Source organism: Homo sapiens, chromosome X (assembly GCF_000001405.40).
Source record: "Homo sapiens chromosome X, GRCh38.p14 Primary Assembly".
Lineage (NCBI taxonomy): Eukaryota > Metazoa > Chordata > Mammalia > Primates > Hominidae > Homo > Homo sapiens.
In genome coordinates, this window is record NC_000023.11 from 100,641,517 (window position 1) to 100,655,665 (window position 14,149).

Below are 14,149 nucleotides of genomic sequence, written 5' to 3' on the forward strand. Positions count from 1 at the left end.
CATATCCCCTTACTTTGATCTCCCTATGATTTCCATATTCTCCCCCTTCACTTTCTTCTTTAACCTCTCTCTGGAACCCTTCTGTCCCACTGCTTCCAGCTTTCAGTGGGATTGAGGCCTTACGCAGCATCTTCACCCTGGCATGTGCTAGGCTTTGTGTTGGATGGCTGGGGATATGAAGAAGACTAGGATAAGGTTCTTGCCCTTATAAGCACTCATAGTCTAGTAGGAGTCAGAGATAAGTAAAGAACAATGCCAATAAGTGTGAAAAGTCCTAAAATTGAGATATGTACAAAGTGCTGTGAGAGAAAAGGAAGGCAAAGTTAACCATCTTGGGCTGGGATGGGCTGGGGGAAGGTTCCTAGCAGCAAGGGTGGGTAGAGTTCCAACAAGCCAAGAAAGGAGGGAAGGGACCATGGAGCAGAGTGAACACGTCTGTGCAGAGGCTCCAGGGTGTGAAAGGAAGAACAAGAAGCTCAAGGAAGAGCATGAGGCAGAGGGTGTCCAGAATGAGGAGGCATGGGGTGAATGCTTAAAACTAGGCTAAGGACATAGGTGGGGTTTGCTTGTGAAGAACATGGTATGCAATGCTAAGGAACTCAGACCGTACACTATGCCAAGAGGGAGCCAGTGAGGGGGGTCTAAGAAAGAAAAAACTCTGGTAGAATGTATTACTTTGCTTGTTCCCTCTCTCTCTCATATTCCTCTCTCTCTCTCTCTCTCTCTCTCTCTCTCACACACACACACACACACACACACTCTCACATACTCAAACACACAGACACACACATTTAATATATTCACTATTTTCTCACACACGAGTTTAAAATAAACTCCTATATCTGATTTTCTGGCCCTACCCTATTTATTCAGCTTTGTTTTCTATCTTTCCCTGAAACCTCTTAGCAGTTAGCCTCTCCCTCCTCTGACCTAAAGGTGAACTCTTGTTGATGGCATTTCCTTTGCCTGAGGCTAGACCAAGGCCCACCTCTTCTCAGGTGACCCCCTCCTCTGACTTCCTCCTAGCGTCCTTAAAGTCTGTAACACAGCTTTTGGCAGTCTATTACGGTAGGGAGTTGTATTGTTTTCTAATTGATTGTGTCCCTCTTCTCTCCCCTACTAAACATAAACTCTGGGAGCTGGAGAGTAAGCTCCATAAGATCAAGAATCACACATTACTTGCTCACCACTGTATCTGCAGTGCTTAGCTTATAGTAGATGACCAGTAAAGATTCCCTAAACACACACAATTGTAATTAAGAACATGCTTGTTTGATGTCTGTCTCCTCTGTTCCATGAGGGCAGGGATTTTTGTCCATTTTGTTCACTGATGTTTCTCAAATACCTAGAACCATATGTGGCACATAATGGATGCTCAACAAGTATTTGTTGAATTAATTATGGATTACAATGCCTGGGATTTTGTCTGTCTTGTTCACCACTACATCCACCACTCTTGACATGGTAGATACTTGATAAATTTATGGAATGAATAAGGCCATGACGATCACGTCTTCTTCTTCTTCTTTTTTTTCTTCTGAGACGGAGTCTCACTCCCTCGCCCAGGCTGGAGTGCAGTGGCGTGATCTCAGCTCACTGCAACCTCTGCCTCCTGGGTTCAAGCAATTCTCCTGCCTCAACCTCCTGGGTAGCTAGGATTACAGGCGTGCACCACCACGCCCGGCTAATTTTTTTTTGTATTTAGTAGAAACGGGGTTTCACCATGTTGGCCAGGCCGATCTCGAACTCCTGACCTCGTGATCTGCCCACCTCGGCCTCCCAAAGTACTGGGATTATAGGCGTGAGTCGCCGCGCCCAGCCACATCTTCTTTACGTAGCTATTACACTGTTAAGCAAATGGTAGACACTCAATACATATTTGTCACAGGTGAATTGGAAATGAAGCAGGCTCAGGCTTGCTTTTGAACTTTGTATTCTCATAAGTACAATTCTTCCCCTTATGACTGAGAAGGGGTTACCAATTTGCTTGCATACACAGGAGAAACACCCTTTCTACAACAGCTTAAAATTCTTCCTTCTATAACCACTGATTTTCCAAGAGATGGAAATGTCAACCGTGAGGGGAGGGAGATTGTAAGTAGCTGCTCTGTGCTATGGCAGAATAGTCTCATTATCAGATACTAAAATGAAAAAATCTTGCTGAGTGAAATGTAGCCCTCCATCAGAGACCACTGGGAAGCAGCTAGATTTGCTCAAACAGCCTCCCAGTAAAGCCTCTCCAGGCATGCTTTCCCTCCATTCTTAGTGTGGGAAATCAGTCTTGATCCTTCGGGCAAGAAGTACATGTTTTTTGTTTTTTGTTTTTTGTGTTTTTTTTGTAAACAATATAATCTTAACAGAAACTGAAGTCCAGAGAAGTTAGGTCACTGGCATGAGGGTTTCAAAGCGTATCTGACGTGATACCATATAGATTGCAAGACAGTTCAGAGTTGGGAGTCTAAGGAATTACAGGAGAAATCTTAGGGAATGTCAAAGTCAGCTACAGTCTTCCCCTCTCTTTGGTGTTTGTGAGTGTTTATGAAATTCCTTTTCATTCAATTCTTATGTCATGCTGAGTCATAAAAAGAAGTGTTCTTCAGTGCAACACATCTCTGGAGGCCGCTTAAGCCAGCCTCTGTGTTAGTCATCACTATATTCACAGGCTTGGAGCCAGTGCCATTCACACTTCCCCCTCTTCTGCAGCAGACGGACTGAGTTCCTCTAATCCCTGTGTTCCTTCTCCCCCATCTTTCTAAAACCCTTCTCTGAGAGAGGAATAACTATAGCTTCAGGGATAATATAGCTTTAAGGAAACTTTTGGCAGATGTGGACGTCGTAACATCTGGGCAGTGTTAACAGAATCCCGGAGGCCGGGACAGACCAGGAGCCACTCGTTCTAGGAATGTTAAAGTAGAAGGTTTTTTCCAATTGATGAGAGGAGCAGAGAGGAAGGAGAAAGAGGAGGAGAGAGAAAAAGGGCACAAAATACCATAAAACAGGTAAGATCTGCAACTAACCCCTCCACACTCCACTACCCCAATTCACAATTGTGAAGGGGATAAGGAGACCCAGAACTTGGGCAACATGGCTGGGGGTGGAGGTCGGGGGGAAGTTCTTTTATGAAGCTGGATCATATGCTGCTTTTCATTTGTGCCGTGACCTGACTGCAAACACATGTTCCCAGCAACTTCTCAGCCCACAGCAGAGGGATGGGATGGTTGACTCTGGTGAGTCAAGTATTAAGCCTGAGATTGGGGAGAAGCTGGGCAGGTACGAGGTCACAGGTTCAGGGATCTGAAAAAGGAATGCCTCTGCTCCAGAACGAAGGAACTGGATGGAGGCTAGATGTGGGAGAGGGGTCAGTGATTAGTTATCTAATGTTCACTTCCTGGACCTCTCTTTAATCTCCTCTTTCTGCTCCTTTTGTTGCCTCTTTCTGCGTTTATCTATCTCTTTCCTTCAGCTCTGTCAGATTTTCTTTCCTTCCTTCCCACATCTTTCTACTTCCCTTGCCTCCTTCGTTTACTCTCACTTTTTCTCCGTCCTGCTTCCCTGTCACTTTCTAGACAAAATCTGAAGCCAAGTAGCAATGAACTAAAAAATACACTTTTCCCTTTCTTGGGCTTTGCATGTCCCTTAGGGACTCTGGCCAGAATCTACCACATTTTTGTTTCTCTATTTCTAGGACTGACTCCTCCCCTGAGCATGGCATTTCATTGAAAGCCCGTGAGTGAATGGGTGCTTGCTGAAATGCCCAGTGGCCAATTTATACCAATGGGCAGCAAGTTTTAATACTGTCATTTACAAAGTATTTGCCCGCTGGGAACCACAAAACTCTCGTCCCATTAGGGTGAGGACAGGGGAGGAAGTGAGAGGGCAATTGGAGCTTGTTCACCCTCTCCTCATGTACCTCAGCAGGTCCTCCTCTACCTCGCTGACTTCCTGCTGGCTCAGCAAGGTAAAACTAGAGGGTTAGGCTGGACTTGAAAGCCAGAAGCCACTACCAAACCACCAAGCCTTAAAACCCAAAGCTAAGAACAGAGCCAGAGTCCAGTTACTGCCTGGGACACTAGAGAAGGGAAACATTCAGTCCTGTCCAATACAAAGTTGGTAATAATATTGTCTAATATATAAATTACTTCCCTATATGACAGACAATAATCAATTCATGAGGTAGACAGTATTATTATTCCCATTTTATAGATGAGGAAACCGAGGCTTAGAGAAGTTAAAAAATTTGTCCAAGACCCTATAGCTAATAGGTGACAGAATTGGATTCACATCCAGACCTGTGTAACTTCAGTGTTCAAATTCTTAGACCACATATGCTAACGCTTTCCCAGATTAGTGGCTAGGAAATGTTAGTTGAATGAATGAAACCTAATGGCAGCCTTTAGGTCACCAGGTTCCCTCCTGGTTCTGTGTAACTTCATGTTGGCCTTTTCCTGGTCTCAGTACTTCAATGTCCCTCTCTATAACTTGGACCATGAAGCATTTGCATCTGATCCCACCAGAGTCAGATGAAGATTGGTTGTTTTACATCCTCCTCCTCCTGGGAGGAAAAGGGACCATAAATAACAAACAGAGTCTTGTTATTCTATAACATGAAAGATCCTTATGAGGGAGATAATATAAAAGGCATTCATTAATTATAAAATCTCTCTTCTTCCTCACAGATCCCATATTTCTGCTTCCCCTCACTTTTAGAAGTTAATTGATGGCTGACTTCTGAAAGTCACTTTCCTTTGCCCTGGTACTTCAGGCCATATACATCTTTTCTTGTCTCCATAATCCTCCCTTTCAAGGATGGCCAGTCAGCTAACTCAAAGAGGAGCTCTCTTTCTGCTGTTCTTCCTAACTCCGGCAGTGACACCAACATGGTATGCAGGTAAGTTCTAGGAGCTGTTGCCTATTATTTCCAGGAAGGATAGGTCCTAGACCAAGACTTGGAGAAGGAAGAGTTAGACTACAAAAAGAGACACTTATTTTCTATACAGAGAAGTATTAAAGGACAATAAAGATGGTTAAACATGGCAACAGACTACCAAGGGAGGCTTTTAAGGCAGCCTAACAAGAGCTATTTGAAATAGGTGAAATAGGCCACACTAGTACAAACATGAGAAGGTTGGACATCACCTTTGAGGCCATTGTCTCACCTGCTTGTGCACTTAGCTTCCTGAAAACCATTTTCTAACATGAAATCCTTTATGAGTCAAATCTTTATTAATATTAATTCTTTTATGAGTCAAATACTCTTGTCAAGACCACAAAAATGGACTTAGACCACATACCTCATTTGGAAAAAATAAGGGGGGCAGGCAATCTATTCAAGTGAAATGAGAATCCATCAGACTTCTTCCCACCCTCTCTGATCTTATTTATAAAATGAGATTTTTTATAGCCCTTTTATGCCAAAGCTGTTAGTGGCAATACAGATCACATCCTTTTAATCAGGAATTTCCCAGTTTCTTCTCATTTGTTCTTTACTTCAGAAGGGATGGAGATTTCTGGATTCCTGAATATTTCACTCTTCACCCAGAGAGCCAGAGAACAAACTCAGTGAGAAGAGGGAAAGGGGAGGGGGAAGGGATGAGGGCAGGATAATGAAGTGGCATACAGAGGTTTTATATGGGGCCCAGCTGGCATTCCAAGTGCTAAGAATATTCTGTGGCCTGCAGTGTCTGCCCTCACAGGGGCCCGTGGGGAGTAGTGGGGGAAGGAGACAGACCCAACCAATGGGGTTAGGAAAATATCCAGAGATGAGTAAATAACAAACTGCTCCCATCACAGCCACAGTCCCTGCAGCTAAAATTTTCCACATGCCCTTAGCTCCTGGTGGAGGCCTTTGGCAGTAGCTCTGTTTGTCTGGAACAGCTGCATCAAGCTTTCAAACAAATATGCAAACTTCTTCCCCTTTTTGGCTTAACCTGGCTTTGTAGGGGGTGAAGCACAAGGACTGACATTGAGATGAAAAAATTCAAGTCAAGCCCTTGGCAGAGCATATCCTGTTTGGGGTTAAAGGTGCCTCAAGTCTCCAGGAGATAAATATGCAACTGTCCTCCCCAACCTCCCCTTGCTTCAGTTCATTTACAGAGACCAAAATCCAGCCAAAGACCACAGGACTAAAGGAGTGGAGATTAGATGGCTCGAAGCCCAATTCTGAACACCTGTATGAAACCTCATGGCATGCAAAGGTCTTTACCTTTCCCAAAACAGAAGCCTGAGCTGTTGGAGGCGTGAGCACAGAGCAGTTTTTTAAAAGTTAGATTCAGTTGAGGTTCTCAAAGGGCTATTTGCAAAGGTGGAACACCCCACTTCCACGTGAATCACAAGTCACCACTCCTGAGAAGCTCAGATTGGTGAGGCCTCTGCCAGCCCTGCAATTCCACTCATTCTTCCCTCTTCTATCCTTAGGAGGCCACATGATGAGAGACATTTCCCCTACACTGCTAGCTCAGCTGTTGGGCTTGCCTTCATGCCTTTGTTCATTCATTCCTTCAACAAATATTTATTGAGGACTCTTTATGCATCCAGGACAGTTTTGTTTACTTGTACAGCCTTGTCTTCAAATGGGCATGGCACAGAATAGCAGCCAAATGTGGATCCAGGGCTAATCAGAAAAAGGGTCCAGGAATAATCAGCAGTGGCTGGGAAAAGTTAAGAATATAAATAAAGCAAAGAATGGGTTAAAAGTGTGTTCTGGCATATCTGTGCAGCCCAGAAAGTCAGACTGTATTTGTCATCATAAGCCAAGGATTAATATGAATCTTAAGATAGTCTTTTAACTATCAATTACATGTCTAACTATACTTTTGTGAAGGGCAGTGCTTAGAGGGCCTGACTGTACTATGGAGGTTGGAGGAACCCAGTAACAGACCACACAGTAACCAAGCACTGATTGATCTAAAGGAACTGAGGAATGCTCCCCAAGTCCTTCCCCCAGGGCTGAAGAGGGACAAGCAGACAGAATAATGTAGGAAATGTTCCCCTTTAATTTCATTCTTATACCCATCTTAGTATTCCACCATTTGCAAAAAAGAAAAAAAACTCAAAGATAGGCAAAGAGGGGAAATGGGAAAATGGAAAGGTTTAAAGTGGCAAGATGGTCTGAACCCTTTCTCCACACAAAGCATAGTTGGCACTGGTCCAGCTACTTCCGCACCCTGATGGAGACTGTAATTATCTTATTGAGTCTTCCCCACAGTTTTCCTACATCCCTTGTAATTCTGGAATGATGTAAAATGCTTGGTGGCCTTCGATCCCACACACACAGTAAAAAAGCTGGATTGCAAAAGAGATTTTGGACTTTTACCCCAGTTGGACATTATCAAAAGCTCTTCCCTAATCACCATCTTCAGTGGAGTGTCTGAGTTTGGTATCTAGGGGGTCAAGCAGACCTGGGCTGGAATGCCCACTCTGCTGCTTACTAGCTGGGAGACCTTGGTTCTCTTGGTTCCTCAAGCCTGTTTCTTCGGCTTTATATTGGAGCACATTAGTAGTACCTACCCTGCTGACATGTTATGGTGACATAATGAACTAACATATGTAATGTGCTTAACACAGAATATGAGCTGAGAGATGTTAGCAGTCATTGTCGTAGTTGTTCTTGTTGTTGTTACTGTTACCAAGCCACAGGGCTCTGACACTCCTGACACTCCTGTTTTCTCTTCTGTTAAACAGTCCTTTGCTCCCTGCTGAGCATGTCTTCAAAAGCTGGCTCTGTAACCGGAGCAGGAAGACCTAATACTTTAGGGAATCACCCACATCTGGCCTCCTGTTTACAGGACCTATAAAGCTTTGAGGCTAATACTGAACTGAAACAGCTGACAAAAATTCCATGACCCGCCCCCCGACTCCCCCGCACCCACCAAAGAAACCTCCCATTATGGGAAAAAAGAGAGCAGGGGAGATGAGGTCTGAGAAGAAATCAACGGAAGCCAGAAGAAGAACTGAAATGGGAAAACAGAAAAAAAGAAAAAGGGGAAAAAGAAAAAATGAACTCTTTCCTCTGGAATGAGGGCAAACCAACGAGGACATGATTTCATAAGGCAAACTTTCAATTGATTCATTCCCTTGTTCACCAAGTTGGACTGGTTTCCCAATACCTCACCTCCCCCACCCCTAGTCTGGGCCTGTGGGGAATGGAGGAGCTTCATCATCTGGCCCTCTGCTCCGCCCTTCAGTGCAGGGGGCCCTGTGCCTCTTCCCAAGAGGAGGAGGCGAGCTTGTGGCCTGAGTATTTACACAGGCCAAAGGGCTCCAGCACTAAAACCCAGCCCTGTCCTGGAAGCACACCCTCTCCTGGAAATAGGGAATTGTCTCTTGACTCCAAAACAGCTGGCTACCCTATTCCTGTGCATGCATTAGGGCTCAGGGAGGCTGGAAGGAGGGCTTCCGGAAACTTCACTCCGGAAAGGACCAAGTTGTTTTCCAATTAGTTCGTATTCATGACCGATTTCCTGCCGTCTGGTGGAACATACTGTTTAGTCTCCCAGACAGCCGCAGACCTGCCTCCACTAGGGACTGGGCCACTTAACTGGATGGAGATAGATTAGGAATGTTCTCTAGCTCAGCAGCTCCCTGTTAAAGTTCCTTCTGATTAGAGAAACAGGAAATTTATCCGAAGGACTCTGCCTTCTCTGTTCTCCAAACCAGGGCAAAGTGCTCACAAAACTGCTTTCATTTCCTCTTGCCTTTTAAGTCATCCCTCTCGGCCTTGGCATGCCACCCCCAGCAATGGTAATCCGGTAATCCGATGACAAAAAGGCCTGTGCCCTGTGGGCTAGTGGAAGCCTGAGTAATTGTTTTTTTTTGAGGACCATAAGCAGGGCTGTCACTAGGGGGAAGACACAGGTTCTGTTTTTGCCTCCTATCAGGGACCACAGTCCATTCTCAGAGATTAGTCCCCAGTGTCTTACCAAGACTCATGTGTTGCTTCAAGGAAATGGGTCATTTATAGTCCAGATTGACAGGATTGATGTATGGTCAGGTTCAATTTTTTTCTTTTAGATGGAGTCTTCCAGTGCTCGCAGTAACTGGCCACCACAACTATGAGCCTGCCCTCTATGCAACTGAGGTGCTGAGATTCACCCACAGTAGTTCTGCTGCCTTACAATGCAGGATTTCCCCCACTAAATATCCACCTGGCTCCCCACCCATGGAATGCCATGTCCTAAGGAAGTGACAAAGTTGGATGAGAGGGGGAAGGTTGGGAAGGAATTGAGTGAGAAATCAAGACACCATTTTGATATTGTCTTCCTTATTCTAGGTTCTGGCTACTATCCGGATGAAAGCTACAATGAAGTATATGCAGAGGAGGTCCCACAGGCTCCTGCCCTGGACTACCGAGGTAATCTACCCTGCTTCTCAAGCCCAGAAAATCTCTTTTCTGGCCTCAGACCTAGGCCCTTCCCTGAAGCATCCCCATCAGGCTTGGCTCACATGTGTCAAAACTGTAGCACAGGGAATCAGGGGCTGTGATTTCTCATCATGAACTTGGTTACTGACTTACTGTGTGACCTCACCTCTCCAGCCTGAAGGTTCTCCATGTATTATTAATCATTAAGTATTGACTAGTTACTCAATGCCTAATCCTGTGCAAGGTAAGCCTGTGGGTAATACAAGGTCTCAGATAGGGTTTTGTCCCCATCATGTAGCTTATATTCTGTTGGGGGTGATGGGGGGGTATAAAGTTAGCACATGTAGGGCAAGTAAGTGTGAAGCTATGTCATAGCAGTAAATGCAATAGGGTTTAAGAAAAAGAAGTCAGGAAAAGGGTCATGAAAGATGACATTTAGGCTAAGCTTAGAATGATAGGTGGGATTTTGAGAACCAGAAAGGGGAGGGGAGAGCATTCAGCAAAGCAGATGGCTAAAAATACGGAAGTAAGAACAAACCTGGTAGAGGAGGGAGCTAAGAAGAAACCAGCCTGATTGGAGGAAATGGAATATGGAGGGAGTAGTATCAAAGAAGGTTAAATATAGGCCAAGTGCAGTGGCTCATGCTTGTAAACCCAGCATTTTGGGAGGCCGAGATAGGTGGATCACTTGAGGTCAGGAGTTCGAGACCAGCCTGGCGAATATGGTGAAACCTCATCTCCAACAAAACTACAAAAAATTAGCCAGGCATGGTGGCATGTGCCTATAATCCCAGCTACTCAGGTGGCTGAAGCAGGAGAATCACTTGAACCTGGGAGGTGGAGGTTGCAGTGAGCCGAGAGCTGAGATGGCACCACTGCTCTCCAGCCTGGGTGACAAAGCAAGGCTCTGTCTCAAAAAAAAAAAAAAAAAAAAGTTAAATATAAAGAGTGAGACCAAATTAGGAAAGACTCCATGATCTAGGGACAATACTAATGAGAAGCATGAAAATTATCTGTGATGAATGCTGCATAGTGAGTAATTCCTGCATTAAAAGGGAAGTTAGGCCAGGTGGTATCTAATATCCCTTCTATTTCTGATTCTTTGTTTCTTTGCTTTGCAAGCCATGTGGAAGAGTTTAGCTGTTGTACTAGGATCTATAGGGAGCCCATCACATGTTTTTGCACAGAGGCATGACACAGTAAATTGTCATTTTAGAACATTAACCTGATTATTCTATGCAGAAATAGGGGTTCAGTGGTTAAGTCTGAGTCAGGGAGACTCTCCAGGAACCAGCTACAGTAATGTTGGCTAGAGATGACTGATGGTGGTGGCAAAGAAATGGAGGGTACAGATGAACCCCATAAATGTTTCAAAGAAAGAGATGACAAGACTTAGTACAGACTTGATGTACCAAGAGGCTAAGAAACAAACTGATGTCTGAAAGCACTCAGTCTGTACACCTGGAAGAAATAAGACCCCTCTCAGAAAGACAATGTCAAAAAAGAAAACTGGTTTGGTAAAGATGCCCTACAGGCGGCGGAAGGATGAAGTTGTGTGAGTCATCAGCTTAGATAGATGGGTTGTCTGAGGGAGCAGAAGGCCAGGGTCAGAGCTTTAGAAGACATCTGTAGACATGAGTAGGAGAAGAGGAACCAGCAAGGGGAAAAAAAGAGAATTAGTGGTCAGTCATGTAGGAAGATATCTGGGCAGTACCTGTCATATTACAGAAGCCACAGGAGAAGAGAGTTTTAAGGAAAGGAAGGGGTAAGAGATAAATTGTGTCAAATATTGCAAAGAAATCAAATTGAGGGTAAAGGAAAGATGTTATCTGGCAAGAAGGAGGTAAATGGTGACCTTTAAGAAAAATAGTTTCAACTGAGAAATTCTCAGAGCTTTGAGCTCCTCTGAGCATCTTTGTAGCTACCTTCTACGCACGTTCTTCTCCCTGCCAAATGGTGCATACCCACTGCCTCTCTCCTCAGCACCCACTAACTCCTAAACTCTCTACAGTCTGTTTCTCGCCCACTCACAAATCTACAACCTGAAATGACATCTCTTGAAGAAAAAAGTTCTCTCCCATGAGAGAACCAATTCCCATGACCCTTTCTTGAGCTTGTCTCTCAGTCTCTCCAGCAGCAGTGAGCACCTTCCTTTCTTCTTAATCCCCCTTCCTTGGTCTCCATGGCATTTCACAATTCTGGTCAGAGCTGAAACTGGGAAAGGAGGTGGACTCTCTGGTGGTGACAATAGAGAGAATGAGACTGGGATCTGAACTTGGGTCAACCCTGACCTGTCTCCTGAGCTGGTGGACTACATCTCCAACTGCTGCTACACACTTCCATTTGGAGATATCTAAAACAAAAGTATTTCCTCTCTCCTGAAAAATGTTCTACCTACTGACCTTCCTACTTCTGATAACACTACCATCATTCTCTTAGTTACTCGGACTTCAAAATACCTCAATGTCACCTCTAATAGGTCCTGTCACCTTTAACAGCCCCCTTTTCCTCATCACTTCCTGCCAGTCAGTCACCAAGACCTGTCATTTCTTTATTAATCCATGGGATTAAAACTTTGACCTCACACATGGATAATACAGTTGCCTCTAACTGGATTATCTGACTCATGTTTCCCCCTCCCCCAAACCTACTGGCCCACAATGACCATTTTAAATCAGAATCTGGCCTTGGTCTAGCTTCCCAGACTGACAACTTCCTACCTGTTCTCCCCACATGAAATCTGTGCTTTGGTCAGGCTGTGTTCAGTACTGTGTTCCCAACTGCTTTAGCCCACACTGAGCTTTCTCTCGCCCATTTATTCTTTCATCGAATATTTATTGAATACTTATTAGGTACCTCTTCTGAAATAAATGTTTACTGTCTAGACACACTCATTTGGCCTTCATTATGCACTGCCTCTTTGGTTAACTTTTTATTACCCTCAAGAAAATAGTTCTGTATTTAACTGTATTTAGCTATATTTCTGTATTTGACTGTATTTAACTGTATTTGTGTATTTAACTGTTTTTAACTGTATTTAACTGTTTTAACTGTATTCCTGTATTTAACTGTTTTTAACTGTATTTGTGTATTTAACTGTATTTAAGGAATCATGTGTGTTACTCTCACAGAGCCATGGTAAAAAGTAGATGCTGACCACTAGCATCCTGGGAGCAGAAGCCAGATTATGGGAGACTATAGTTTGGAGAGGTGGCTAGTAAAAAGCAACAGATGCAGAAGGTACTTTCATGGAGTCTGCAGCCCTATTATTAACATTAACCTTCTTCACTGGTTCTTCTTAAATGAGCAGAAAGCCCTTTAGAGAAATACAAGCTGCATAAGGGCCTTTGGTTTGGAGGTGTAGTGTCTCATAGCTCTTTTTAGGACTTAGTCTCAGGGCATAAAATGAATTGAGTGAAGTTAGCAATGATGAGGGGGAGGGAGTGGCCAGGAAAAGTACAACCTGAGGCCCCAGCCTCCCAGGTAAAGTCTTTGTGACCTTATAATCAATAGGTCTGCAACTGTAGTGCTAAATGACTTCCCGTAATTTGAAGATGGTGTCTCCAGATGGCAGTAGTGTGTCTCAGTCACATGCTCAAAACGAATGCTGGGAACCACAGCATGTTGCTGCTTTAGGAAAGATGGGACACTGGCTCAGACCCAGACACTGACTTAGGGAAAATCATTCACAGGGTTGAATATTTTACACATGAAATTTCATTTGGTTCTCACAACAGCCCTATGGAACGGTTTATTATCCCCCATTTTACCAACCAGGAAACTAAGCTCAGGGAAGTTTTAGATTCAGAGAGTCACAGAGAATTTAAACTCAGATCTGTCTGACTCTAAAGCCATGCTTAATTCATCTCTTTCATCAAAAATTAACTCATTGTTCTAAAAAAGAAGACCAGAAAAAAAAGAACAACCAAATCATTATTTTAGAGCAAATTGGCATGTCATTTGCTATCATTTTCACTCATCTTGCACTTTCTATCATTCCCTTATCCCAACTCCTAGCTTGGAGTCAGCTGGGGCTGCTGCTTTCCTTGCAGCTTGCCTCATCCCTGAGCAAGCTAGTCACACTGCCTGGGTTATCTGAAGATAATAGAAGACAACAGAGAAGGCCCTTTCAAAACTCTCGTCAGCACTTTATTTTCTGCATACACCTTAAAAAGAGATAGACAGATGAATAGCTACAGAAAGCGGAGACAATGGGCCTGAGTTCAAACCTCCGCTTCTCCCCCTTCCAGCTCTTGGACTCTGGACAAACACCTATTATGTGCCAGTCACTGTGCTATGTATTTTATAAATGTTATTTCATTTAAATAAATTGCACACTTGCTATGTAGTGATATGGAAAGATCTCTAAATACACTGTTAAGTTTACCAAACAAGCAATGGAGGGAAGAGTGGGCATAATATGCTACTCTATGTATTAAAAAGGAAGGAAAAATAAGAAGCTATACCAACATTTGCTTTATAGGCACAAAGAAACTATTAAAAGTAGTTATTTGGGAGGGGACTAAGTCGGGGTGGGCATGGGAGCAGGGGTTGGGGGAAGACATTTTACTTTGTAACTTTTTATACTTTTGAGGTTTTGAGTCATGCGGATATATTATCTATTCAACAAGGTCAGTGTTTACTTCAAAATAGTAGCCTATTTTATATCTGCAGTGGCAGACACTGCAATTACATAGGACATGGAGTTTGGAGCAGACAAAGCCTGGGTTCAAATTTCAGCTCTACCCCTTACTTGCTTAGGGATCCTGGGCAATTTACTTCCTCATCTGC

At 43.8% G+C, this 14,149-nt stretch overlaps 1 protein-coding gene across 1 annotated transcript in view, besides 2 other annotated features; it reads left to right on the top strand.

Annotated features, from left to right (window-relative positions):
- Positions 2,683-14,149, top strand: part of SRPX2 (sushi repeat containing protein X-linked 2) — a 31,590-nt gene continuing 20,123 nt past the window's right edge. Inside the window, exons 1-3 of the mRNA NM_014467.3 lie at positions 2,683-2,999; positions 4,677-4,888; positions 9,269-9,349. Of these exons, the coding sequence (NP_055282.1) occupies positions 4,807-4,888; positions 9,269-9,349 (163 nt within the window). The 5' untranslated portion in view covers positions 2,683-2,999; positions 4,677-4,806. The remainder of the gene's footprint in view (positions 3,000-4,676; positions 4,889-9,268; positions 9,350-14,149) is intronic.
- Positions 5,676-5,970: an enhancer, noted in NCBI's record as "tiled region #6756; HepG2 Activating non-DNase unmatched - State 6:EnhF". NCBI's record gives its function as "activates a minimal TATA promoter and a strong SV40 promoter by Sharpr-MPRA in HepG2 cells {active_cell/tissue: HepG2}" and the evidence as "EXISTENCE:reporter gene assay evidence [ECO:0000049][PMID:27701403]".
- Positions 8,336-8,630: a silencer, noted in NCBI's record as "tiled region #14263; K562 Repressive non-DNase unmatched - State 24:Quies". NCBI's record gives its function as "represses a minimal TATA promoter and a strong SV40 promoter by Sharpr-MPRA in K562 cells {active_cell/tissue: K562}" and the evidence as "EXISTENCE:reporter gene assay evidence [ECO:0000049][PMID:27701403]".